This window comes from Homo sapiens, chromosome 2 (assembly GCF_000001405.40).
Source record: "Homo sapiens chromosome 2, GRCh38.p14 Primary Assembly".
NCBI lineage: Eukaryota > Metazoa > Chordata > Mammalia > Primates > Hominidae > Homo > Homo sapiens.
Window position 1 is genome coordinate 54,952,273 of NC_000002.12, and position 21,902 is coordinate 54,974,174.

At 45.6% G+C, this 21,902-nt stretch overlaps 2 protein-coding genes across 21 annotated transcripts in view, besides 1 other annotated feature; one reads left to right on the forward strand and one right to left on the reverse strand.

The window, feature by feature from the left end:
* Window positions 1-19,753, forward strand: part of EML6 (EMAP like 6) — a 248,474-nt gene extending 228,721 nt beyond the window's left edge. For 5 of the 8 annotated variants that reach the window (XM_017004098.3, NM_001039753.4, XM_047444302.1 and 2 more), the window contains 12 exons: window positions 322-420; window positions 1,711-1,884; window positions 5,518-5,726; window positions 6,832-6,989; window positions 7,948-8,062; window positions 10,251-10,439; window positions 11,714-11,886; window positions 12,299-12,461; window positions 14,728-14,831; window positions 15,856-16,009; window positions 16,396-16,496; window positions 17,799-19,753. In XM_017004098.3, coding sequence (XP_016859587.1) covers window positions 322-420; window positions 1,711-1,884; window positions 5,518-5,726; window positions 6,832-6,989; window positions 7,948-8,062; window positions 10,251-10,439; window positions 11,714-11,886; window positions 12,299-12,461; window positions 14,728-14,831; window positions 15,856-16,009; window positions 16,396-16,496; window positions 17,799-17,823 — 1,664 coding nt within the window. In that variant the 3' untranslated portion in view covers window positions 17,824-19,753. Of the gene's footprint in view, window positions 1-321; window positions 421-1,710; window positions 1,885-5,517; window positions 5,727-6,831; window positions 6,990-7,947; window positions 8,063-10,250; window positions 10,440-11,713; window positions 11,887-12,298; window positions 12,462-14,450; window positions 14,832-15,855; window positions 16,010-16,395 lie in introns of those variants that run through there. The other 3 variants (XM_047444299.1, XM_047444300.1, XM_017004100.3) reach the window with 3 other exon arrangements.
* Window positions 15,221-16,214: an enhancer, noted in NCBI's record as "NANOG-H3K27ac-H3K4me1 hESC enhancer chr2:55194629-55195622 (GRCh37/hg19 assembly coordinates)". NCBI's record gives its function as "activates a minimal SCP1, AML or CMV promoter by ChIP-STARR-seq in primed H9 embryonic stem cells {active_cell/tissue: H9 hESC(primed)}" and the evidence as "EXISTENCE:reporter gene assay evidence [ECO:0000049][PMID:30033119]".
* Window positions 19,917-21,902, reverse strand: part of RTN4 (reticulon 4) — a 165,643-nt gene continuing 163,657 nt past the window's right edge. For all 13 annotated transcript variants that reach the window (NR_135829.2, NR_135830.2, NM_001321904.2 and 10 more), the window contains 3 exons: window positions 21,549-21,595; window positions 21,291-21,349; window positions 19,917-20,926 (listed from right to left, as the gene is read on the reverse strand). Coding sequence is in view for 11 of the 13 variants with exons in the window: in NM_001321904.2 (NP_001308833.1) it covers window positions 20,884-20,926; window positions 21,291-21,349; window positions 21,549-21,595 (149 nt within the window). In the remaining 2 variants the exon portion in view is untranslated. The remainder of the gene's footprint in view (window positions 20,927-21,290; window positions 21,350-21,548; window positions 21,596-21,902) is intronic.

Sequence of the window (21,902 nt, forward strand, 5' to 3'; positions counted from 1 at the left end):
CTTCATCATTGTGGACTCTGGAAACCCCTGTACTTGAACTGTGCTCTGGACCCACACAGAGTTGTGGGAAGTATCGAAGAGCAGCTTGAGTGTATCAGATAACAGACAGTAGCTCCCCTTCTCCCAGACCCAAAACAGAATATGAACATTCCAAAAAAACGACCCTTCATCTCCCCAAGTGTGATTCTGGAAGTGAGAATTTGAGGGCTGTAAGCTCTCACTTTTATAAGAAGTATCCAATGGCTCCACGCGATGTTTTGAAGTTGCCCTAAAAGGTCTTTAGGTTCCACTGTTCACCCTCCCATGATCTCTCTCCCCCAGGGAGCCAGAGCTTCTATCTGGAGCACACAGATGACATCCTCTGTCTCACAGTGAACCAGCACCCCAAGTACAGAAACGTGGTGGCCACCAGCCAGATAGGTAGGAGGTCCTGTGGCAGCTGAGGCTCTCCCAGCTTGCAGGGACGCTGACCTGTCAGCAATTATTGGGAGAGGGAGTGGGTGGGTTGCTTACATCCATCCCTTCTTGTTGATGTTGCTGTTGATTTTTTGAGTCCTGAGTGTATCTGTGTCACCTGCGTTGACACATCCAGTGACTGTGATTCTGAGGGACCATAAAGTCTGACCAGCGCCTGAGAGTCCAAATAAACGTTGGCCCCCATCCCTGTGGACTTGTAAGAATAGTTTTTCAGACCCCAAGTGTCAAGAACTCCGTGTCTTTTGAAGCTGGTTATTGTGCTTGGCCAGGGTAGGTTTCAGTAAGTGTGCCTGGACCCCCTGTGCCCTGGGAAACTGCCGGTGACAAATGTGAACTGATTCACATTTATGAGAAGTTTGTTTTCACTTAGTCATCTCGAGCAATTTTTACAACTTCCTGCTTGTTTTCATTGAATCATGTCCATTTTTAAGTTTAATTTGGAACTTTCTGATGCTGGTGTTGAGTGCTTCACTGTTGGAAACGTGACTTATTTTAGCTATTGTTTTCCCTTGACGCTTCCTCATTGCCATTGCTCACCCAATGCAGGTGATATTACGGAAACCCCAGGTAAGGCTGTTCCATCCGTGAGTAGTTTGAATCTGCAGAGCAAAATCATGTCATTCTATCATGTTTGCTGATTGTATCTTGCCGAATTGCAGATACAAATCATTGACCTCACCAGTTTCCTTCGTATAAAATCCTCTGCAAGTGTGTGTGTGTTGAACATAAATGTCCGTAGGGCTCTGCCTTTAAAAGCAAATTTCCTCTAGTCTTTCTCCTCTGGCCAGGTCAGGCTATAGGTCTCTTATGCCCAATGACTGTAACAGCCCTAAACATTTGTCTTAAAAAAGGCTTTTGCAGGCCGGGCGGCAGTGGCTCACATTTGTAATCCCAGCACTTTGGGAGGCGGGCGGATCACCTGAGGTCAGGAGTTTGAGACCAGCCTGGCCAACATGGTGAAATGCTGTCTCTGCTGAAAATACAAAAATTAGCTGGGTGTGGTGGTGCGTGCCTGTAATCCCAGCTACTCGGGAGGCTGAGGCACGAGGATCGTGTGAACCCAGGACGTGGAGGTTGCGGTGAGCTGAGCTGGTGCCACTGCACTCTGGCCTGGGCAACAGAGCAAGACTCTGTCTAAAAAAAAAAAAAAAAAGGCTTTTACATGAACATAAGCATCGCCTTGGCTCTGCCATTTGTCAGCCTTACTTCTTTGTCATGCCTCTCCACACTCAGGGACAACACCTTCCATCCACATATGGGACGCCATGACCAAACACACCCTCTCCATGCTGCGGTGCTTCCACTCCAAGGGGGTGAATTACATCAACTTCAGTGCAACTGGAAAGCTCCTGGTGTCGGTGGGAGTGGACCCTGAGCACACCATCACTGTCTGGCGATGGCAGGAAGGTAAACCAGCACTGGGCTTTCTGTCCCTCCAGGGTGTCTGCCTGTGGGTGTCGAGCCTGTGGGCTCGAACCCAGATCTGCCTCACTCCGAAGCCTGCCGTAGGCACTGACTGCTGCTGGGCAAGTGGAAAACAGGGCACTGGGGATCCTGGTATAGCTGCCCCACTGATGCCAGTGCATCCCAGGGTCCCAGGGCCAGGAGGAGGCTGGCCAGGGACTCCAGGGCCCATTAGTGAAGGGGCTCTGAGGAGGTTCCCCGATGTTGGCAGCCCTCCTCCTCGGAAGGCAGCAGCCTCCCCGACATCTGTCTTAGCCACCTTCCTACCCAAGGGTCCTTGTCTTCCGTGCTCTTTCTGATGGCCCCTGGATCCTACTACAGCCCTATCACTTTGTCTGCTTTATTTTAGGAAATGGGATCATGTTTTATCATAGTCTCAGAAACATTTAAATTTTTTTTTTAACATTTTAACACTTTTGAAATAGGGATTTATCTTACAATCCAGGTTTACATTTACTGTAACAGGATTTCTTTCTAGTCCTCCCCCAATACATGCACACACACCTCACACACATGCACACACACAAGCTGCAACTGAATGTGTGGTCATCTTAGAACTAAAGATGTGCAGTCCTCCTCATATATTCTCAGGTTGGGTACTGCCCTGGCAAGAGCAGATCCAATTAGTCAGAACATTAATGAGGTCTGTCTGCAGCTAGGCAGCCTGTATCTGGGACACGCTCTACCAGGCAAGCGCAGAGGTGTCACTTCTCCCATCCAGGGCTCTGGAGTCCCATTATCTCTGCATCTTCCCATGGAGGGGGTGGTGCGTGGAGGTTGTAAAGAGATCAGCACACTGGGGGAAAGTTCCAGTCACTCCTGAGCACCCCCATATGAGGAAAAGAGCCTGACAGCTTGCAGACATTTGTAATGATACCATATTCCTTCAGAAGGTGACATGATCTATAATGTTTCTAGGAAACCACATGTTCTCATTCTCTGGTTCACCAGTATATCTCACCCAGATGGCTGCACAGTCAGTATCCCAGGGGTGCAGATTCATTCCTTGTGATGTCAAGTGGCCAACTGATTGACCAGACTCAGCCCAGAGAAATTGAGCATCTTAAATGATAGACAGAGAGCATCTTGGAGTGGGAAGAACTAGAGAAGACTTCCTGCAGTTAGGACCCATCCTAAGGAGAAATTCCTTCAAATGCACCCCTTTGTCCTTTCAAGGGGTGTGGCTTTCAAGGACCCCTTGAATACTTTCAAGGATGTGGCTCTCCTCACTTCACAAGGCAGCCCACACGCTGTCAGAAAGCTCTTGCGTAAAGCCCCTTCTTATGTGGGGACAGAAATTGCTTCATTATATGTTTCTTCTGTGCTGCTAACTGTTCCTAGATCCTTGGAAGAAAGCTCTCACACTGGCCCCACTGCACGGCCTTGTCTTTTTAGGTTCAGGCTCACTGTCTTCACTCCCTCTACCTGTCCTCCAAGCAGTGCCTGCTTTGGCCTGCCCTAGCACAGACTCTTGCTCACCCAGGGTCCCTTCTGACCTCCCAGGGGAAGGTTAGAGGAGCCAGGGCTTTTAAACAAGCTCCCGAGGAAAAGAGGAGCCTGCTCTTGTTTGTACAGAGGGTTGTGAGCCAGTGCTGATATGTGACCTATCGCTAGCCACCACCTCTTCCGGGTTGACCACGGACATGTCATTTCTCCTCCCTTCCTTCTCCAGTGTGGGTTTGCCTTCATTTCAAGTCTTACTTACAGATAAATAGCATGTGTTTGGGGAGGTTTACATACATTTTATGTATCACTAGAGAGCCTATTATTCATTCTTCATTTATTAGAGGATTGTTTTGGGGAACGTGTGTGTGTGTGTGTGTAGGTAAAAATAAAATAGACCTAAAAATGAGCTTATTACATAAAATCCATGTCGTCAGGTCCTAGGTATATGTGTAATTTGCTCTGAGCAGACTAGAAGCCAATGCAGAGAGGGATACAGGTGTCTCCACAATTAGAAGCGTCCATGAAATTAAAACAAGGAAAATATAAACAGTGGCTTTGAAAAAATGTGCAACTCATTGTTTGTTTGCACTTCTCCCATGACTGGTGAGCTGGAATCTCTTTCCTTTGTTTGCACTTCTCCCATGACTGGTGAGCTGGAATCTCTTTCCATCTCATTGGCCACTTGTATTGGCTGCTTTTGTAATCTACCTGTTCAAATCCTTTTACTACTTGGAGTGGGAGGGTTGTCTTTTACTTATAATTTGTAGTTCCTTATAGATCTCTAATGTTAATCCTCTGAATCTTATAAGCATTGCAAGTGCTTTCTTCCCGTATGTTGTGTTACTTTGTTTATGGTATCCTTGGAGACTGTGGGTCTTAAAACCTCTGAGCCCTAAGTAGAGAGAGATCTGCTACAGTAAGTCAGAGATTCCATATGCAGAGAGAATTACAGCTGGGAGAAGTTCTCTGTGGGTCCCCCTAGCCTCGCCTGGAAAGAGATTCTGTTAGGGAGTATCAGAGGGGTGGCCACAGGCCCAGCTACATCAAAACCCACCACCATCATGGTACTAGAAAGCTGTCATAAAAACAAATGCGAAGTGATGAGAACGAAGAAGAAAAAAATAGGTGTGTGAATAATCAAGGGAGGGGTGACAAGAAATCGGAACAAAAACATTCAGAGTAAGTTAAAGGGTAACAGGTTTAAAACAAAAATTTAAAACTCGAGAGCTTAAAAATAATGAGATTAAAAAAGAGGTGAGTTTAAAATACAGGCTAAAAGAATAGAAGCCAAGAAATTTTAAAAGTAGCTAAAGGAGTGATGATAATACTATTACTACTACTACTAATACTGGCTAACACATGATCACTCAGAGTATCAAGCACTGTGCTCAGGGCTTCACTTACTTCAATTCTTTTTATCTGCACTGCACCTTCTGAAATAGGAACAATTATTAGCCCCATCTTACAGGTAAGGAAACTAAAGCACAGAGAGCTTAAATAATTTGTCTAAAGTTGTTCTACAAGTAAATGGTAGAGTTGGAATTTTATTAAGACAAAGGTTAAATAAAACTCAGGAGACATAAATAAATGGGGTTAAGGAAAAATAGTACTTAAAAGGTAAAAAAATTTAAACCTAAACACCACAAACTAAAAAGGAAAACGGGGAACTTAAAGAAAATGCAGGAGAATCTTAGGAAAAAAAAAAAAAAAAAAGCTCTCTAGAGGAATGTGAGTCCCAGTGGCCCTCTGGGAGCGGCTCTGTCATCCTGTGGGGGGACGACTCCTGTGGTGATGCTGGGGACTTGATGGAAGGGGGATGGGGGATATCTTTAAGCCACTTTGCTGCCTTCTCATATCTGGAAGCTTCCATCTCACAGGCCATCCTTTCTTGCTACGTTCATGAATGCCTGGGTTGGGGGATCTGTTACCAGCACCTGCTGCTCTGGAAACTTGCCAGACACACTTTCCCCGCTGCCACCTGGGGAATAGTGTCTGAAGGGGAGAGAGTGCTGTAAAGAAGAACTGAGGCATGGCTTACGCCTGCTGGGGTGGAGACCTCCTGGGCTGCGGCTCCCCCGGCCTGGCCCATGAAGCAATGAGGAGCCTCACTGGACTCTGTCACCCACACAGGTGCCAAGGTTGCCAGCCGAGGGGGTCACCTGGAGCGCATATTTGTGGTGGAATTTCGCCCCGACTCAGACACGCAGTTTGTATCTGTCGGGGTCAAACATATGAAGTTCTGGACCCTGGCAGGCAGCGCCTTGCTTTACAAGAAAGGGGTCATCGGGTCCCTGGGAGCTGCCAAAATGCAGACGATGCTCTCCGTGGCCTTCGGTGCTGTGAGTTCTAGCAGATACTCCCTGAGAAGGGGACCCAGACCCCCTGGGCATGGGCATGGGCATGGGCAGGAGGGGAGTTTGGCCAAGAGGCTGAAAACAGCAGGAAAGCCATTTCCACATTCGCTCCTGTACTGGCTTATCTGCAACCACTGTTCCTTTTCTGTAGCACATATGGGTGGGTTGGCAACATACATATATATATTATTTTTCTGAGACAGAGTCTTGCTCTGTCACCTAGGCTGGAGTGCAGTGGCGCAATCTCGGCTCACTGCAACCTCCACCTCCCAGGCTCAAGCGATTCTCCTGCCTCAGCCTCCCAAGTAGCTGGGACTATAGGCACCTGCCACCACGCCTGGCTAATTTTTGTATTTTTAGTAGAAACAGGGTTTCACCATGTTGACCAGGCTGGTCTTGAACTCCTGACCTCAGGTGATCCGCCTGCCTCAGCCTCCCAAAGTACTAGGATTACAGGTGTGAGCCACCTCGCCTGGCCAATATTTTTTTTTTCTTAAAATATTAACCAGAAAAGGTAGGACACCCACCCAGGACAGGAGGTTTGTTGTTCTAAAGGCAACCCTGAGTTGCAAGCCCCAGAGGATATTGGGAACAATTTCCACTGTAGATAATGATCCTTTTTCTTACCAGCCCTCTTGTGCCACAGATGCCCCCAATTACCACCCTTAAGTGGGCTATGGGGTGCCCTCAGCCAATGCAAGCTCCAACTTCGTGGTCCTCCAGGAGTGGGTTTCTCCCTCTTGTAGAGGAGCCCTAGGAAAGTGTCCTTTGGCCTGGAGTCTGCCCCATCCCTGCTGTCACTTGGGCCATGCTTACAGAAGGGAAGTCCTTGCTAATGCACAGCTGTGCTCAGAGGGGAAGTCAGATGCCCAAGCCAGTTAAATATAGTGAATTTCCAAGCCAGGTGACTGCCTTGTGATGTGCTCTCGGTGATTTCTTTGCAAATTCTGCTGCTTTCCTTAGCACAAAGAGATCAAACTGCCTAGGCTGTCTGCATCTCTAGCTCTGGTTCCTTAATGAGAGAACGGGTGGCTGGGGAGGGACCCGCTTGAGTGTGTTCCGGGTGTAGAAGATGTTGTTTTGTTTACAGAACAATCTCACTTTCACGGGTGCCATCAATGGAGATGTCTACGTCTGGAAGGACCACTTCCTCATCCGGCTGGTGGCCAAGGCTCACACAGGCCCCGTGTTCACAATGTACACAACCCTTCGGGATGGACTCATAGTGACCGGCGGAAAAGAGAGGCCGTAAGCCAAAGCTCCTATGGAAACAACTTGTCGTTTGTTGTTATCTTGGGAGAAACTGACAAAAGTGTTCCCAACTTGGAGAAAATGCAGACTGTCATCCTCCTATCTTTTTTGCATTAGGAAGATCAGTCTGCTCTCTCTCCAAGAGGGCCCTAAGTCAAGATCCTCACAAGGAAGAGAGGAGTGCAGAGGTGGTTTGATGATAGTTTAAAAACCTGAGAGAGGCATGGTGGTTCACGCCTGTAATCTCAGCACTTTGGGAGGCCAAGGTGGGCAGATCACCTGAGGTCAGGAGTTCAAAACCAGCCTGGTCAACATGGTGAAACCCTGACTCTACTGAAAATACAAAATTTGGCCGGGCATGGTGGTGGGCGCCTGTAATACCAACTACTAGGGAGGCTGAGGCAGGAGAATGGCTGGAACCCAGGAAGCGGAGGTTGCAGTGAGCCGAGATCATGTCATTGCACTCCAGCCTGGGCGACAAGAGTGAAACTCCATCTCAAAATAAATTAATAAATTAAAAGAAAATCTTGAGAGGTATTCTTGAACAAACCACAGTGACTTTGCTGTTGATAAAACGTTATTCTTAGTAGCTCTGTGGAGGAATGGAGGAAGGAGGAGAAGAGGGGAGATGCAGAAGCAAAGCCTGAAGACAGGAGAAACATTTCTGTGTTCTAATCTAATAAAAAGTCTGAATTTCCAAATTACGTTTTCTTTCCTCCCAAGATAGTAGCATTTGAAGGCATTTTAGGAAATCTGCAAGCTCAGGAGGTTGGGATTGCTTAGCACCAGGGCCTAAGAGAGAGGCTGCCTGGAGGGTCTGGACCCTGGAGGGTCTTTCCTTCTGGGCCCCAACTGGCCAGAACCCTGATGACTGGGAAAGAGGGGAGAGGGCCGGAGGGGGTAGTGGGTCTTAGGATGAGGGTTAACAGCCTGAGTCCCTTTCAATCTTTTTTAGGACCAAAGAAGGAGGTGCTGTAAAATTGTGGGACCAGGAGATGAAGCGCTGCCGGGCCTTTCAGCTGGAGACCGGGCAGCTGGTGGAGTGTGTGCGCTCCGTGTGCCGTGGAAAAGTGAGCACAGCCAGCTCCCCTGGGGGCTGGGCCAGGGAAGGGGGAAGTGTAGGTACCCTCCCAGCCGGCACTTTCTCTGGGCTGGTTTGTTTACTCCTTGAAACAAGGCCTCAATACATGAATTGTGCTGTAGTGGGAAGCAGCTTAAGAGAGTCAGACTCCCCCAGGAAGAACCAGCTGGGTGACCTTGGGTGTGTTCCTTAATGTTTTTGTGTCCAGCACACAGGTTTGTCATGAGGTTTTTGTGAGGGTCACATATTTATACATGACAGTGCCTTTCATCTTACCTGGCATATAGTCCCATTCAGGAGATGTTAGCTACTAGTATTATAGATGATATCCTCATAAGCTCAGAGATACTAAATAGTTTGCCCATGCCCTAAGCTATAGGGCCAGTAAGGAGGAGGGTAAGGGCCACCAAACTGTCTGACTCAAAGCCATTGGTTTCCAACTCATATTTGGGTAGCGTATCAAAAACAACTGTCGGGTTTTAAAGAATATGGATGTCCGGGCACCCACCTGGAGCTGGTGAATCAGAATCTCAGGAGTGGGACCTGGACCTGTATGTTTCCTTCTATTTCCTTCTATTTAAATTCCCCCAGGAGATTTGATGCACTTAAAAGCCAATCTCCAAACTTCTATTGAATACCTTGTGTTTGTTTTTAAATATCAGTCTAAGAATTTGCTTTCTAGATGCTGTCCATGAAAAAGGCAAACTGGATATGGAGTACCACATGATTCAAAACTGGGGATTTTGTTCTTAAATAGCTAAGTGATGCCCACCTGGAAGGGTAGTTATGGGAGATGAAGGCAGGACTATGCCTGGAGCCTGGAAGTTATCAGGAAGTAGTTTTTTTTTTTTTTTTTTTGAGACGGAGTCTTGCTCTGTTGCCCAGGGGGAGTACTGTGGCATGATCTCAACTCACTGCAACCTATACCTCTTGGGTTCGAGCGATTCTCCTGCCTCAGCCTCCCAAGTAGCTGGGATTACAGGTGCCCACCACCATGCCCAGCTAATTTTTTGTATTTTTAGTAGAGATGGGGTTTTCCCATGTTGGCCAGGCTGTTCTCAAAACTCCTGACCTCAGGTGATCCACCCACCACGGCCTCCCAAAGTGCTGGGATTACAGGCGTGAGCCATCACACCTGGCCAGGAAGCAGATTTTTGTTCAGTGGAAGGAAGAACTTACTAAGAGCTTGAGCTGTCCAAGAACAGGAGAATTGGCTGCTTTGCTCTGCAGTCACTGGAATATTCTGGCAGAGGCTGGGTGATGGAGGAGTCTGTGCTGAAGCTCTCACCTGAGGTAGCTGATGGAGAAAGGGCAAAGTAAGAGGGTGGAGAAGAGCAATTAAGAATGGACAGTTTGTTGTTAAAAACAAAACACTGGCCAGGCATGGTGGCTCACACCTGTAATCCCAGCACTCTGGGAGGCCAAGAGGCAGGCACATCACTTGAGGTCAGGAGTTCGAGACCACCTGGCCAATATGGTAAAACCCCATCTCTACTAAAAATACAAAAATTAGCCAGATGTGGTGGCGGGCACCTGTAGTCCTAGCTACTGGGGAGGCTGAGGCAGGAGAATCGCTTGAACCCAGGAGGCAGAGGTTGCAGTGAGCCAAGATGTCACCACTGCACTCCAGCCTGGGTGACAGAGTGAGACCCTGCCTCAAAAAACAAACAAAAACAACACTTCTCACCCCTTCTTATTTTAATATTAACACTGCAAAGGCATTTTCTCAAGTTACTTGTTTTTTTTTTTTTTTTAAAGACAGGGTCTCACTGTGTCACCCAGGCTGGAGTGCAGTGGTACCATCATCATAGCTCACTGCAACCTCAAATTCCTGGGCTCAAGCAATCCCCAAGTTTTTCTAATAATAGTGGTGTTTTAAATTTTTTTAACTGTGGCCAAATAGACATAAAATTGACCATTTTGACCATTTGTAAATATACAATTCAGTGGCATTAGGTGCATTCACATGTTGTGCAGCCATCACCACCATCCACAGAACTTTTCTTGCAAAACTGTAACTGTACCCACTGAACACTGACTCCCCTGTCCACCACCCCCATTCACCGGCAGTCATCATTCTACTTTCTGTCTCCATGAATTTGTCTACTCTAGATACCTCATATGAGTGCAGTCATACAGTATTTGTCCTTTTTCTAATAGTGTTTCAATTACAACAGGGAAAAATCTTAGTGGGAACCAAAGACGGAGAAATAATTGAAGTTGGTGAAAAAAATGCTGCTTCTAACATCCTGATTGATGGTCACATGGAAGGGGAGATCTGGGGCCTGGCCACTCACCCTTCCAAGGACCTCTTCATCTCTGCCAGCAACGATGGCACAGCCCGGATCTGGGACCTGGCTGACAAGGTGAGGCCGACTCTGCCCAAACTCAGATGCCCACGAGTGGGCTGCGCGGCAGTGGGAGCTGAGCGAGGAGAGGCCCAGCCAGCGTCATGGCAGAGACGGGGATGGGGCCAGGTAGGAGATCGAGTTAGAAAACCTAACGATAAAAGAAGCCCCACTCACCACACCCCGTCTAAACAATATAATTGAGAAGGATTATTCTGTTGTCATGAAAGAACCCACAAAACTAAAAATATAGAGACAAATCATGTTTTCCCTGGATGAGAAGACTAAAAATGATTTAAAATGTGAAATGTTCTGAAATGGGCCTAATGTATTTCTGTCAAAATCCCAACAAGGTTTCTCTTAGAGCTTGGGAAGGCAATGTTAAAGTTCATCTGGAGTAAAACTGTGAAATAGCAAGGAGTGGCTGGGCGGAGCGGGGTGGGTGGGAGGGAACAAAGAGTTCTTGCCGATCCTCATGGCCTTATCCAGTGTTAAAACAAGTACTCAAGTTCAACTAATTAAAATACTTGGTTTCATTTTAAAATGGCTGGTAAGTGTTTGTTGTATTTTTAGTGTCAGAGTCACAGAATAGTCAGGTAAAAGCTTGAGTATGGTTGCTAGACTTTTAAGTTAGTTTCTGTAATTATTTATTAAACATTATTAGCAACAGCTGTCACTACTTGACTAACTACATAACACCAGCTGCTTCATGGACATGATCAGTGCCTACAATAACCTTGCAAAACCCTTATTAACATCGCTATTAGTAAAACTCTAAAAACTGAGATGTAATTTACCCAAACACACCCAGCTAGTAAGTGACAGGGCCAGGATTCAGAATTTGAACTAGCAGAGGCAGAAGCTCACACTCTTTCCCCTAAAGAAGAGGTTGGCAATCTACAGTTAAAGGCCAGATCGGGCCTGTGGCCTGTTTCTACAAGTCCAGCTGCCCTCATTTATTCAGGTACTGAGGCTGTCTTGTGCTACAGTGGCAAAGGTGAGTAGTTGCGACAGAGACTATGGCCCACAGAGTCTAAAGTGGGTGCTACCTAATCATTTACAGAAAAAGCTGGGCAGCCTGTGCCCTAAAACTTGTTGTCCCCCAAGCTGCTCTAATCAAGACATACAGCTCTGCTCAGTTATTCAGGGACATTTACTCTAAGAAGCAAGAGATTTGGTGGCCTGCAGTGGCTGCGAGGGCAGCCTGACTTCTCTGGCCTGGTGCAGAATGTCTCCTGGAGACCAGCTGAGGGGGCCAAGAGCTCAGGTGACTTTCCTTTGCATCAATGTAGAAGCTGTTAAACAAGGTGAGCTTGGGCCATGCGGCCAGGTGTGCAGCCTACAGCCCTGATGGGGAGATGGTGGCCATTGGCATGAAGAATGGAGAGTTTGTCATCTTGTTGGTGAACAGCCTGAAAGTTTGGGGGAAAAAACGAGACCGGAAATCTGCTATCCAAGATATCAGGTACCTAAGTGGGTGGTCTGGGCATGGAGGAGAAAGGCAAGCATTCTGCTTACCAGTGGTTCCCATTCCAGCCACGGCTGGAATAAAGAACTCAGTTGTGAGAGGGTCACTTTCAACAAGCCACCTATGAAAGAATACCTTCTCCCACTCTCACTCTTAGACAAGTCTTTGCTAATTTCCATAAAAGTGTGGTTAAAATTACTTGTAAATGTCATTCTACATATTTCCCGGGGATTCGATCCAGATAAATTGTTGAATTCCGTAGAATGCCAGGAGAGGCTGACCACATGTGAGTCACAAGGTGGCTCTCATTGCCTTTAGGCCTGGAAGGCCTGTCACAGACCAGCCTTCGTGCCTGACCAGCCCCAAACAGCCCTCCTCATGGACTCTGCTCTCGGATTGCTTTTTCTAGAATCAGCCCAGACAACCGATTCTTAGCCGTTGGTTCTTCTGAACACACAGTTGACTTCTATGACCTCACTCAGGGCACAAATCTGAACCGCATTGGCTACTGCAAAGATATCCCAAGCTTTGTCATTCAGATGGATTTTTCTGCGGATGGCAAATACATTCAGGTATGCTTGGGGTTTACTTATATCTGGGGCAACCAATAATAACAGCAGTAATAACAATGGCCTATATTAATCGAGTCCTTACTGTGTACCAGGCAATGTGCTAACTCACTCTTCACCAGAACTCCTTAAGTAGTTACTTTTTCCATATTTTATAAATGTAGAAACAGAGGCTTAGAGAATTTAAGAACGTGGAGGAAATAGAATTTAAAATAATAAAGAGTAAGAAAAACAGGAAACACAAGCCCTAATCATCTTTAATCTGCCCCTCACCACCTCCTCTTCAGAGTTTCCTGATTTCTAGTTTTCTGGGGCTACACCTAAGCCTTGTGCCGCTTCTGGTATTTATTCATGTCTTTCCCAACTCTACTGGGTAGAATGGCCCCTCCATACGTGGGCCCTGGACTCCAGCCAGTGGGCCTGGAGTGAAAGCTCATCCCTGGGTCCCAGGGGAACTGACCGGTGGAAGGGAGGGAGAGGGTTCCACTGCTGGGACTGATCCCTAAAAACAGAATGATTTCTCTAGCACTCAAGAAATCTGCGTTTGTGAGCTGGCCTGGAGCTGGATATTCACTGTAAAAGGAGAGAGGATGTATTTATTCATTCAACTATTTGCTGAACCGGGCACTATGCTAGACTTTTAGATGGACAAAATGAGACTGGTCCCGTAACCACCCAAGGGGTTCACCTTGCCGGCTGCCTAGACAGAGCCCATTTCTCAAGACAGGGGAATTGCAATAGAGAAAGAGTAATTCACGCAGAGCTGGCTGTGCGGGAGACCGGAGTTTTATTATTACTCAAATTGGTCTCCCTGAGCATTCCGGAAGCAGAGTTGTTAAGGATAATTTGGTGGGTGGGGGGAAGCCAGTGAACCAGGAGTGCTAATTGGTCAGAGATGAAATCATAGGGAGTTGAAGCTGTCTTCCTGCACTAAGTCACTTCCTGGGTGGGGGCCACAAGATCAGATGAGCCAGTGTATTGATCTGGGTGGGGCCAGCTGATCCATCAAGTGCACGGTCTGCAAAATATCTCAAGCGCTGAATTTAGGAGCAGTTTGAGGGTCAGAATCTTGTAGCCTCCAGCTACATGACTCCTAAACCATAATTTCTAATCTTTTGGCTAATGTTAATCCTACAAAGGCAATCTGGTCCCCAGGCAAGAAGGAGGTCTGCTTTGGGAAAGGGCTGCTACCATCTTTGTTTAAACCATAAACTATAAACTTTCTCCCAAAGTTAGTTCAGCCTACATCCAGGAATGAACAAGGACAGCATGGAGGTTAGAAACAAGATGGAGCCAGTTAAGTTAGATCTCTTTCACTGTCTCAATCATAATTTTGCAAAGGCAGTTTCAGTCCCTGCTTCCTGGAGCTTGCTCTATAACAGAGAAGACAAGCACTAAACAGACAATCACAAAATATAAATATAATTACAAATTGTGATTATGTGCCAAGAAGGAAAAGTACAGCATTCCGGGGAGCATGTAACAAGGTGCTGAATTTAGATGCACTTCCTCTCAGCAAGTGATATTTAAGCTGAGGTCTGCAGGGTGTGTAGGTGTTAGCCAACAGAGAGGTGGGAACATTGTTCCAGGCCATCTGCATGAAAGCCCTGAGGCAGGAAAGAGCTCAGCTTCCCAGCTCATTCCAGGAGAAGCACTGCAGGGAGAGAGGAAGCTGAACAGGAAGGGCAGCAGCCATTCACTGCAAATGTCTTGATGGTAGGAAAAATGGTCTGTTTCCTTTAGAAGACTCCCAGAGCACCGAGGTTCAGGTTCTAGACACCTCAGAGATCATCTGTGTCACCCACTGTCCATGAGAAACCTGCCTTACCTCTGTACCAAAGGTTCTTGGTTTCCTGTGAACTGGGATTCCTGTGTATCAGAAACACCTGGCGGCTTTGTTACAGCAGAGACTGCTGGGCCCCACCCTTTCGGTGTCTGTCTGGGTAGGTTTGGGGTGGGGCCCAAAAATTTGCATTTCTAACACATTTCTAGATGCAGCTGACGTTGCTGGTCGGGAACCACACTCAGAGAACCGCTATCTTAGGACTCTGGAAAATAGCGAGAAAATGGATGAGAAGAAAGATGGGAAAATGGCCTGCTGTTGTTGTCATGGGCTGGCCATAGGCTTTGCAGCCTGGAGCTGAGCTTGGGTTTGGAGAAAAGCCCTAGGGATGCAGAGGCTGGGCAGTGTTCTGGGAAACTGTGCCCAAAGGGAGTCTGTGGGACTGAGAAAGAACGTTGATGAACATGGCTTCCCTTCTACCTACAGGTGTCAACAGGTGCCTATAAGCGCCAGGTGCATGAGGTCCCCCTGGGGAAGCAGGTAACTGAAGCCGTGGTCATTGAGAAGATCACCTGGGCCTCCTGGACAAGGTGACTGACTGGAAGAAAAAACTTGAGGAAAAGGTCACAAGGGAGTCTCTTGTCTCACTCAGGCTCAGCCTCCAAGTCTGTGCAGGATCTGAAGAAGCTGAGAAATGGAGCTGTCTTTTCTTTTGGGGGTGAGGGTGGGAGGCTTCTTGGCTAGTCTAGTTTAGGTCACTGGCTTTGATCTGACCTAGGTTTTTGAAATGCGAAGCCCCTCTTTTTGTGTAATTTCTTCTACAAGTCTCCAACCCCTTCCAGCAAGTTCAACAGGAAACCATCTCCCGTCTCTTGGCCAATCCTAGTGCACAGTGAGGCCTCCATTCGCTAGGGGAAGGGAGTGGGAGGGCCAGACCCCGGCTTAGCAGGATGAGAAACAATGGCTAATTCATGGGAAAAGAGACCATTTAGTCTGTGAGTTGAAAGGAACCCCTGCTGTTCTCCCCAACACACACATATTCAAGAGGACCACAGGGAACAGGGAGAGAATCAAAGATGGGGGTAACTTGTGTTTTTGGAGTGTAGGGAACTGAGGCAGAGGGGGAACAGTAAGAGCTGGCACAAATGTACAGAGGGGAAGGGGACAGATGCTTTCATGCCAGGAGAGCCACATGGCTGTACTGAATTACATAAAACAGCACCAGGGACCAATTTCATGGAATACAATTTTTCCAGAGACCAGGTAGGGGGTGGGGTTTCGGGATGAAACTGTTCCACCTCATAAGGAGCTTGCAACCTAGATCCCTCGCATGCTTAGTTCACAATAGGGTTCGCACTCCTATGAGACTCTAATGCTGCGGCAGATCTGACAGGAGGCGGAGTTCAGGTGGTAATGCTCCGCCACCACTGCTCACCTCCTGCCCTGCGGTCGGTTCCTAACAGGCCATGGACCAGTACCGTTCCGTGGCCTGGCTGTTGGGGACCCCTGATGTTAAACATCCCTCTCTTCCTTATCCCTGGGAGGTGATGACTGACTGCAAGGAGCCTTCGCCGTGACTTCCTTCTATCCTAACCCCTCTTTCTGTTGGAACAGCGTCCTGGGAGATGAAGTCATTGGAATCTGGCCACGAAATGCAGACAAGGCTGATGTCAACTGCGCATGTGTGACCCACGCTGGCCTGAACATTGTCACAGGAGATGACTTTGGGCTGGTGAAGCTCTTTGATTTTCCATGCACAGAAAAATTTGTGAGTGTTCCTCAGAGTAACCTCCCTGCAGGTTCTCTGTTTGGCCGTCTGCAGGAGATAGGGGCCACGTCTAGATGGCCCTCTGGGAGACACAGAGAAACCCTGTCCCGGTACAGTGGAAATATGGCAATGAGTTTTTCACCTCCTGGAGGGGCAGTCCTGGAAGCCAGAAGGGAGGATGGAGGGTGGATAAAATGACCTGAAGTGGGGCAAGGATGAGAGGCAGGAAAGTCAGCCAAAGGCTGGCTAATAGATGAGTCCAGACCAAATGGAAGTCCCCAGTGAAGGAAGGTTCTGGGAGCAGGGGATTTGAGTGCTGGAAGTAGTCTGTGGTTGCTGAGAGGAGCCAGGGTCTCTTAGCTGTCTCCATTCACTTTTGCTCACAGGCCAAACATAAGCGATACTTCGGTCACTCGGCTCACGTGACGAACATCCGTTTCTCTTATGATGACAAGTATGTGGTCAGCACTGGAGGAGACGACTGCAGGTACTAACGTAGCTGACCCAGTTCTTACTCCACAGGCCTGGCCAGCTCTCCCTCCCCATCTCAGGCATCCCGTGGGTCAGCCTCTCCCAGGGGCATGAGGAGGGCTGATGTGGGGCTAATAAACAGGAAATTCCATGAGTCCTCATGAAGGCAAGTACTTTCCAAGATAAGGCATTTACTCTTTGGTGACTGTCAACCCAATGGTTGTGACTGGAGCTGTCCTGGGATGGCATGGGCATGTGATAGCTACTCTGGGCACTGCTGGGGGAAAGGGACAGGTGGATGACACCCGAGATGGCTGATTTGAGTAGAAGCTCTTGGCAGCCCATGGGCTTTTGTGCATAATCAGGAGGTTAGAATGCAAATTCATCTATATGTCCTTTTAAGAACTCCCAGTTGATCACCAGTGTTGGGAATTTCTTTATTTACTCTAAATAGAGTATAGAGGAACAGGTCTAGGTCATTCTAACTCACTCAGCTTCCCCATTTCTGATGAGCTTCATTGTAGCATGAATACTGGGTTCTATTCAGCCCAAGCAAAACTCCTGAGGGGATAAAGATGAAATACAGGCCTTCTGATACTTCCTGGTGGTCTGAGTTAGGTTGTAAGAAAGGCACCTATAAAGAATCTCAACCCACTTCCCACTCAAAAGCACTGTGTATTTCTCATGGCCTGCCTGGGAGCCCCCATCTCCAGCCTGCTGTGCTGGCTACTTCTGGCACTTATAGCCCTTGAGATAGTACCGCCAGCAGCTCCCTGTGAAGTGCTAACACCCCTTCAAAGCAGCACCAACCCAATTGTGAACAAGCTAGGAGTAAAAGACGTAAATGAATTGGTCACCCCAATGCAGGGGATACAGACTTGTTTTAATATAAAAAAGAAGTGGCCTTAACCGTGCAGGGCTTGCAGGCCTTTGTAGGCATGGGAGCATGCTGTGATCCCTGGTTCTGTGCTAAACACTCAAAAGGGCTCTCTGACTCAAGTGGAGGTGATAAACCTTTTCAATAGTAACAGGAGAGAGTGTGATATCAAAGTGCCAGAAGTCCTCACGGACCAACATTTAGCACAGACATTCAAACTGCTGAAAGAACCAAACAGAACTCAACTGAAAAAAACAGACCTTTTAAGAAAAGCAATAGATCTTAATTTGGTGGCAAGATCCCTGGTTTACCTTTTGAAGTCAAAATGTTCAATACATCACCCGAGCTTGACTTTTGAGCACTTGGCAAGATTGTTTTTTGCCACTTGACACAAGTATGATGTCCAGCTATGCAAAATGACTGTTTGATCTGCCTTTTCAGTGTATTTGTGTGGCGATGTCTGTAAAATGCCAGAAGCCTCTTATGTTATTGCTGCTGCTGCTACCAGCCAGCAACTGCAGAGGCCATGCTGAGGTGCCTCCTTGCCACCAGCCGTTGGGAAATGCCTACCATGCTGCCCCGGATGCACAAGCTCAAAACGCTGCAGAAGTTACACAACTGCTCCCATAATCTGGACTCTCCAAAACCGTGATGCCACGAAGGAAGGTCAAGTTTTAAAATGTTAAAGACTGCTTGCCTCTGTTCCTGAGACTAAACAGTATACATACTAACTACATTGACAAAGAAATCCTATCTGATAATGTAGCCCGCTGACGAATTTTGAAGCCTCGGTTACCCTAACCAATATGTAGCTTTTAATTTGCATCAAAACTTTTACAAAGATGTTTTGCTATTGTTTCTATATACTTCAAGAATGTTCATTTTTACAAATAAGTTGAACAAGACAGCCTAAGTTAGATGCACCGAAGTACTAGAAATATCGCTAGCCTCTGTTCTCCAGTTTAGCTTTCAAAACCAAATGAGCCATGTATAAAGGAGTTGAGAAACTTAATTTTTAAATGTTTCATTTGCAGAGTTTTATATCCATTAAGTGCCTTTGAAAGTTTCCAGTTGTGTGGGCTGCTGTCTCACCTCCCACCAATTTCTCCTTTCTCCATATGGTGCTAAAACCTCAAAGCTGAGGAGGGCTGCAGGACCCTTAGCAGATTCAGTGTGTCACCCTTGTCCTGTGTTCACGCCAAGGCTTCCTAAATGAAAGACATCGGTTACCTGCTTATGGGAAGGTGAGCAGCAAAGGAATTGAAGTTCGGGACAGGGTAGAATTATGGGTTTTCATTGTGTTTCATGCCAAACCCACAAAATCCAAAATAGAATTCAAGTTAAACAAACTTCTACTACAAAATGGAAGGGGAAAAAGGCTCAGGAAGGTCTATGAGAATGAGCTGACTTATCTCGTTAAATCTTAAGATAAATGAGGGTAACCCAAGGCTGCACCTTGGTGTACCACCCTGAGTGGAGTTGAGGTGACTTCATTTGATTGCTTCAGGCGAACTATATAGGTCAAGTCCAGATTATAAAAAAATTATCTGCAGAACAAATTGTAAACCCAAGGAATAGCTGGTAAATCAAAATTATAAAGTGAGTTAGAGTTCCTTGGAGTTGGTTGTATGACGGAATATGACTTGGACAATCTTTACCAGAAGCCATCCGTAAGCCCCTCAGTCACACTTTCCATGTAGCTGACCAGTGACTACAGGATGTGGCTGACAGTGCTCACTGAAAGGAGAGTTGGTGCGGGACTGGTGGTTCTGAGCACATAGACGCCTATTAGTCCTTCTGGTCAGTGAACGAAAATTCTAGACCTACAGTTACTGGCTACTTGCATTTGTCAGTTTAGAGAAAAGGTAAAATGAGGCATTTTCAATTGTAGAATAGACTAACATTTACCACAGAAGTGCTTCAGCATTCTAAATGGATTAGATCACTCATTAAGCTATTTTTATATGCCAATTTACTAATGCCTTACATCAATCCACTAATAGGTTGTTGGGCCCGCAGTAGAGTCCCTATGCAGTCCCAATTCTGTTTTCTGTAACCATGTGACTGGTGATGCAGAGTGATAACCATGTCTGCCTATCTTGTACTAGACTCTTCATGCTGATCGGATCTTGCATTGAAATAACCATGTGGAAGAACAATGAATCGATTAATGATGACATGTACAACCATATTTAAAGAGCAATAGTGTCCGTGTGTCATGAAAAACTTATTTGTAAACGTTTATATGGTATGATTTTGATTTTATGTATGTTCATAAATCCTGCACTGTATGATATATGTGAGTTAAAACATTGGTGCATGAATTTATTTTCAAAGTATAAAACACATCACTTAAACATTTTATGTGTCAAATAAAATTTGATTATGTAAACACATTTGTTGACTTTTGTTTCCACAGTAAACAAACAAACAGCTGCACCATCAGCTGAAAAAAACCCTTCTAAAAGCACAAGCTACCATTCGCTGGTTGAAGCAGTTTACCCACTGTGTGCATTTTTAATCTGCTGCAATTTCATGAAATGAAAATACCAAAGCATATTTTAAGTCTATAAGCTTTATTGATACTTTGCTTTTACAGTTCACAATGCATTCCACAGATTTAGTTCAGTACAGCTTAAACCACAATGGTATAAATCTTCATTTTGTAATTAATAATTTCTTGCATAACAATGTTTGATATTTGCAAACAAACAACATTTTTGGAAGCATTAGATTCAGTCCATAGATTCTGTGACAAAATTAACTACAGTCAGTCTGTGCAATGAAATTGATGTTGGAGTTCTATGTGTGTGGCATTTCATGTTGAAAACAGATGGTAGTGCTCCTAGAAATATTTCTTCTTCTAGCTTATGTGCTTTGGAACTACACATGTATAACCAATGACTGACTCTGAAATATCAAGCACTGTGGGGTGGCTGGAAGGTAAAGGTCTAAGCTTTGTGAAACACTATACATATATAATCTATATTTACTTATATTGGCAATTAATATAACAGTAAAAGTCACAATACACCTAGAACATACCAGAAAAGCAAGCTTTGTCATTCCTGCTTTACCGGTATGATCTCGTCTAAACAAACATTTCATTTCAGAAAATCTGCATCAATCTACACGGACCATACACAGTGCACAAACTGAAAAGGGCTTTTTTTTTTTTTTTTCTAGCTCCACCATCTCTGCAACTTGCCAAGATGCGGCAAGACTATCTGCAACAAAGTAAAATATACAGGTTTTTTATTCCACCAGTGCCTCAGATAGATAGGAAAAAGATATGATTACGGTTTAAATCCATACATAGCAGCTTACAATACTTAAGATGATGAACACATGGCAGTCAAGACAGGTAATTTTTCCTCACAACAGTGCATGGCTAAAAATAAAGATCTAACAACGATCTGTGAAACTGCACTGCAACGTCAAGGTTCGTTCTTCCCTGACCCTCCCCCGTATAATCAAATGAATATCCCCTTTAAAGATGAACTCCTACTAATTATTTTGGGCGTTTTCATTCAGCTTTGCGCTTCAATCCAGGGATTTTTGCTTGGATTCTGAAAATGAAAAAGTCAATGTAAATATCAGTTTTGTTTGCTGCTGCTTAAAATACCATCTTCCAAGAACTACTTGTATGTTATTCAGCTAATACAATAAATGAAATCCTTAAAGCTGCCTAATTCTAAGCTATAATTTTGCCACCTTGGCCTCATGAATTAGATTTAAACAAAGCCTTAAACACATAATAAACCCAGAAACGAATGGTCCAAATGTTAGAAAAACAATCTTTTGGCAACTCTGAAGTCACACTTAAGGTCTGATAGAGATTTGTTACTCATTATGCCTGCAATATGAAAATACTGTTCTCACAATCCAGCACACCTTATCCTAGTAAAAACACTGCAGATTTTAAATACTTACTTAGCCATAGCATCTTTAACATTCTTATTTGCAAGTCCTAGATAATGATCTATCTGTGCCTGAAAGAGAGGTATAAAGGAATTATTACCGTTGCTAAAGAATCTTATTAACCACTACTATGTGTCAAGCTAAAGGCTTAAGAAACCATCACACTTCTCATTTTTGTAAGACATTGAAAATGGGCACTAATACATCCGTAAATCCCATGTAATAGAGTGAGTGCTCTATTCTGAAGTCAGCAGTTAGTTAGGAAATTACCTGATGCCGTTCATAAATAACAGGAACACTGAAGAGTGAAATGAGAGCTGAAAAGGGAAATATACAACTTTTCAAAAAGAACGGAATGATTTGGGAGGAATAAACACTCAAAAAACTATTAAACTGGCAACTCAAGATAACCAAGCAGTGTTCCTAATGAATGAATAAAAACATAAGGATCTCTGGATGCATCTGCTGTTGAGGAGCCACTCCAGAGGAATGAATGAACTGTGTGAGGCTGCAGTTATTAGAGCTAGGAACCATTTCTAGCTTCAAATCATATCACAGTGAGATTTCATAAAATAAAGGTATCCCTGGTTAGATTTATGACTGCACCATCATATAAAGCCACCC